At 39.6% G+C, this 4824-nt stretch overlaps 1 protein-coding gene across 1 annotated transcript, besides 3 other annotated features; it reads right to left on the bottom strand.

The window, feature by feature from the left end:
* Nucleotides 1–1180: 1180 nt before the first annotated feature.
* Nucleotides 1181–2552, bottom strand: PDHA2 (pyruvate dehydrogenase E1 subunit alpha 2). Its single transcript, NM_005390.5, has one exon. The coding sequence runs from the start codon at nt 2492–2494 to the stop codon at nt 1328–1330; it is 1167 nt and encodes a 388-aa protein (NP_005381.1). The 5' UTR covers nt 2495–2552; the 3' UTR covers nt 1181–1327.
* Nucleotides 2034–2533: an enhancer, noted in NCBI's record as "H3K4me1 hESC enhancer chr4:96761263-96761762 (GRCh37/hg19 assembly coordinates)". NCBI's record gives its function as "activates a minimal SCP1, AML or CMV promoter by ChIP-STARR-seq in primed H9 embryonic stem cells {active_cell/tissue: H9 hESC(primed)}" and the evidence as "EXISTENCE:reporter gene assay evidence [ECO:0000049][PMID:30033119]".
* Nucleotides 2534–3035: an enhancer, noted in NCBI's record as "H3K4me1 hESC enhancer chr4:96760761-96761262 (GRCh37/hg19 assembly coordinates)". NCBI's record gives its function as "activates a minimal SCP1, AML or CMV promoter by ChIP-STARR-seq in primed H9 embryonic stem cells {active_cell/tissue: H9 hESC(primed)}" and the evidence as "EXISTENCE:reporter gene assay evidence [ECO:0000049][PMID:30033119]".
* Nucleotides 3891–4493: an enhancer, noted in NCBI's record as "OCT4-NANOG hESC enhancer chr4:96759303-96759905 (GRCh37/hg19 assembly coordinates)". NCBI's record gives its function as "activates a minimal SCP1, AML or CMV promoter by ChIP-STARR-seq in primed H9 embryonic stem cells {active_cell/tissue: H9 hESC(primed)}" and the evidence as "EXISTENCE:reporter gene assay evidence [ECO:0000049][PMID:30033119]".

The raw sequence follows: 4824 nt of genomic DNA, 5'->3' as shown, positions 1-4824 counted from the left end.
TGTTCATCTTCTCCCAGGCCTCTGAGCTTTTGGTTTTCTTATTTCTTAGAATCTAGGTTCTATTTGTAGAAGTAGATGCTGTACAGTAAAGAAAAAGGGTTAACCTTTGACTGTTTTGGTATGTTCCACCTACTATTCTTAAATCACAGGCAAATTATCATCTCTGCTCTCAGAAAAATAACATACACCAAACACCAAGCTCAGCAGGATTTTAAGTAGTCGAATATAACCATGTAAAACTGCTTTCACCAAATCATGACTTGATAATTGACATGGTGCTGGACTGCAGAAAAGACATGTTGTGTGTTCCTTTGGAAAAAGTTATCTGTGAATGTTCTGTTGCATTAAAAGATACTAAATAGTTGATCATGTAGTGATTAGTAACGCATGGTTAACAGCTAGTAAGAAGCAAGGTAGATTTTACTTTCAACTTTTTATTAATGTCACCTCCTCTGCTTAACTCTTTGAATCACCATCTCTGTTTATTCATTTTTCAGTCTGAAATTCACCAGAATGGCCCATTAAATTTTAGAATATATAAGGGCATAAATGAACTGCAAAATAAGAGTAGCTTTAACTTAAAGATTAAAGCGGAATGCAGTTTTTCCCCTAGATTTTAATTTTTGCTATATTTTTCCTTAAGGGTTAAAAGACTAAAAATATTGTAACAAGATACAATAATATGAAAAAAAAAAATCCTTGTTCTTCCTCCCCTGCCCTGTTAAATATCATATATTATTGGAAAAACGGTCAGTGTTAACAAACTTCAGCACCACGTGTGTGGGTGTGCGCATGCGCACACTGTTACACTAAACTGTATTCGTTATTAGGTAATTCAAGTAAATGGTTACATATCCATAGGTGTCCTGAGTAGCTTGAAATAATCTCCTTACCTCAGGATGGTGATTCTACATAGAAACCCATGGCAGGGGAAGCAGGAAACAACTTTCTTTTAAAGAAGAGAATGCATTAAAATAGTATAAAGCTAAATCAAATGGAACTGTTATGACAAACAGTTTGGGAAGTTAAATAATCTCCTTTTCCTATTTTAGACTTGTATAAGTTCAAAATAATCTTTAAGATATTCACACTAAATTGTTACCTATATAGTATCTTTTAATGCAAAAATATACAGTATAATTGAATATAATATCACTTTTATTGAATGCATGTCTTTCAATCTCTTTTAATAATCTCTTTTAATAAATGCTTACAAGGCTTTTGTTTTATGAGTTTTATTCCTCCTTGAGTTGAGAACACAGTTTCTTAAATTTGACCATGAACATTCCATTGAGAGACTGATGATAAATTCACACGTAGCCTCCCTTTAACTGACGGACTTAAACTTGATCCATGGATTTGCACCACGAACTTCAAAAGATGAATCACTGCTGTAGATGTGATGGCCTAATTCTTCCAAATGTGGCTCAGGATCAGTGGTAGCAAACTGGGCAGCATCATCAATTTCTTTCCTCACCTCAGCCCCAATTTCCTTTAATTCTTCCACAGTGGCGAGCTTGCTGTTTACCATTCTATCTTGGAGAATTATTATAGGATCCCTCTTACTTCTTACTTCCTGAATTTCTTCTCGTGTACGATAACTGACTCCAGGATCACTCATACTGTGTCCATGATAACGGTAGGTTTGCAGCTCCATCAGTATGGGCCCCTTTCCAGATCTACAGTAGTTAGCTGCAAATTTTGTTGCCTCACGAACACACAGAACATCCATTCCATCGACCTTTAGCCCAGGGATAAAATTGCCCCTCTTGTAGTAATCAGGGCTGGCTGCTGCTCTCTCAGTAGATGTTCCCATTCCATATAGGTTATTCTCACAGATGAAAACACAAGGTAATTTCCATAAAGCTGCCATATTGAAAGCTTCGGCTATCTGCCCCTGATTCGCAGCGCCATCCCCATATAAAGTCAAACAGATCTCATCGTTTCCTTTATATTTACAGGCCAGAGCAATGCCAGCGCCCAGGGGGCCCTGTGCACCGACGATGCCATTGCCCCCATAGAAGTTCTTGGTATACATATGCATCGATCCTCCTTTTCCTTTAGCACAACCTCCTCTTCTTCCCGTCAGCTCTGCGAGAATGGATCGGACAGAAAGTCCCCGAGTATAGCACACACCATGAGCCCTATAGGATGTAATGACGTGATCCGAGGGGTTTATGCCGGCCTCAAGGCCCACGCAACAAGCTTCCTGACCATCGCACAGGTGACAGAAACCGCGAATGAATTTCTGTTTGTACAGCTGATCTGCCTTCAATTCCATGCGGCGAACAGTCAGCATCATCCTGTAGTATTTAAGCCCCTCCGCCCTAGTGAGCACTGTAGTGACAGGGGGACCCTCTTCCAACAGATAAAGATCACATTTCTTAATTTCAAATGTAGCGTCATTTGAGGAGTTACGGGATGCCACCAGCACTCTGCGAGCTGATTTCTGGGCAACTCGCCTCAACACGCGGGAGATGAAGGCGGCCAGCATATTCTTCACGGAGTGCTGTAGATGGCAGCGGCGTCCCGTAACGACCGCCGGAAGGCCTGGCCTCGGCTCCGCGTCTCCTTCCGGTGCTCCAATGCGCTTGGCACCATCCGGGCAGTGCACACGGGTGATAGAGGCAGGTCCTGCACAGCACTGGGACATGGGCCACGCAGCCTGAGCTGACTGATTTGTACAGTGCCTGCCAGCTGTAAAATGAAGACTAAAAGTGATTTCCTTTTCTGGAGGACTTGGGCAAACTACAGGGCATCCTAATCGCCGTCATTGCTGAACCTCAATAATCTGAGTCCCTTTTCCCTGTTAAACCCTGGAGCACTGTATCTCAAGCTTTCCCGACAAGCGTATCAAATAGAAGAAAGGAACAAACTCAGTCCCTAAGGCACATGAGAGTTCTGAGAGTTAGTCCAAAGGTATTTCTTCCTACCAATATTTCTTTAATGTCTTGTTTTTGATCTTTAAAATAGGTATGAATATTTATCCTGCTCCATAATGTGCCATATGTATTTTAAGGTAACAACAAAGCTGTAAATTATTTGTAGCTTAATTAACTTTAAAAACAAAACAAGCACACGCACGTTAACAAAAACCCCTTTTAAAGAAAAGTCAGTACTCTCAAATAATATGCCACATTTATCCTGATGGCGTCTAGCACCTGTGACACTTGAAGTGGGGAGGGAAAATGTATACAAACCTCGGCCTGAGGATAACACTTTAAACCCAGTAATAAACTTTGCTTGGTGTGGGAAAATTGGAAGCAGGGAGAGAGGGTTGAGGTGCAGATTGTGGTAAAAAGTTTGTAGTTTGTGACATTCCACTTTTCCTTACTCTGTTTAATAATTCTGAATCTCTGTTTTTACCTAGTTTTATCCCTATTTTCTGACTACTTCACTTTTGCTCTTCCTTTTGTTTATTTCCTCTTTTTTTTCTTTTTGGTTTTCTATAAAAATGTCTTCAGCAGGTTTCCATAGACTTTCAGGTGGTATTTATTTATTTATTTATTTATTTTGCTTTCATATCAATCAAACTGGACCAGCCTTAGTCCAGGAAATCTAGAAACATGTTCTTATAGTGCCTTTTTATGTAGTAACCATTAGAAAGTGTTACTTCTTATAAAGTGACCCACCAAACAATACACAGTTTGGACTACAAGAGAGCAACAGAGTTTGCTTATGCCACTGGAAACCGTTCAATCACAAGAGAAGAGAAGCCTTAGACCAAGGGATACAAAGATCACATATCATTTCTCTCTTTTTGTGCTTTTACCAGGAAGGCGATTTTGTGCCCCAATAAGCCAACCCTAACTAGGGATCCTGTTTTATTTAGAATATTAAGCCATTCACCTTAATGCATGCTCTGTTTTATATCCATTGCCTATTTGCAAATGATAAATTCTTACCCAAATGTCCCTATTACATGTTCAAAGCAGCTGCCTTCTCTATATCTAGTTGCAGGTGTTATTTTGGGCACTTCTTTTAATATTCAGGAAGAAAAGAGAAAATAGCTTGTTAAAAAGTTAAGATACCTCTTAAAACTTGATCGTCTCCCCACCTTCTGAACCCAGCCATCATAATAGGCCTCATCTTTTCACTCAATTGAAAATTCAACTGTTGGAATTCATGGTCTTGCTGTGTTGTTTGCTCCCTCTTTGATAGTTAGCCTGTCTCTGCTGTTCTCTTTCATTCCTCCAGGTATTGGAGATCTCCAGGGAGCATTATCTCCATAAGAATGAGAAAAATGACACTGCAGGATAGAACAGTAGTGTTAATGGGTCAGTGAGTGACAGCTGAGCCTTCTCTCAGAGGTATCAGCCAGGCCAGTGCTGCCAGGAACACAAGAGCTGTACAGTAAAGTGTGCCAATTTAATCTTGTCACACGTAGCCTGGACTGCAAAGATAGAGCTCCCCTTAAAAGCCCAGTGTGTCAAGCCTAAACCCGACTCATGCCAGAAGAGAACATACAAAGATGCTAATTGGAAAATATCTGTACTACGGGTTCCCACAGAAGATGTCCTTTAAAAAAAAAAATTTCTCAACAGGATCTAGTTAAGATAATAAATAATAAAATGTGAAACTCCCATAGACCTCTTGGTCATCAGTTACCCTATATATCCTAAATTCAACTTAAAAATAGACATCTGAAATCAAACAATGTTGAAGCATTTCAATTAAACTGATTAATCTTGATAATGACTTTTTGACTTTTATTGCTATCCTTCCAAATCCATCTACATTTTTCAAAGAAAGAATGAAATTTCCAGACATCAGGGTAAAATGTTTATCCTGAGCTGTTGAGCTTCTCCTCTTACATGCCCCCCA

The sequence above is a fragment of the Homo sapiens genome, chromosome 4, assembly GCF_000001405.40.
Source record: "Homo sapiens chromosome 4, GRCh38.p14 Primary Assembly".
In the NCBI taxonomy this organism is placed as follows: domain Eukaryota; kingdom Metazoa; phylum Chordata; class Mammalia; order Primates; family Hominidae; genus Homo; species Homo sapiens.
This window is presented reverse-complemented; position numbering and strand designations above follow the sequence as displayed.

Excerpts from the sequence above, each read along its gene's own strand:
- PDHA2 (NM_005390.5), bottom strand. The coding sequence starts at position 2,494 with ATGCTGGCCGCCTTCATCTCCCGCGTGTTGAGGCGAGTTGCCCAGAAA.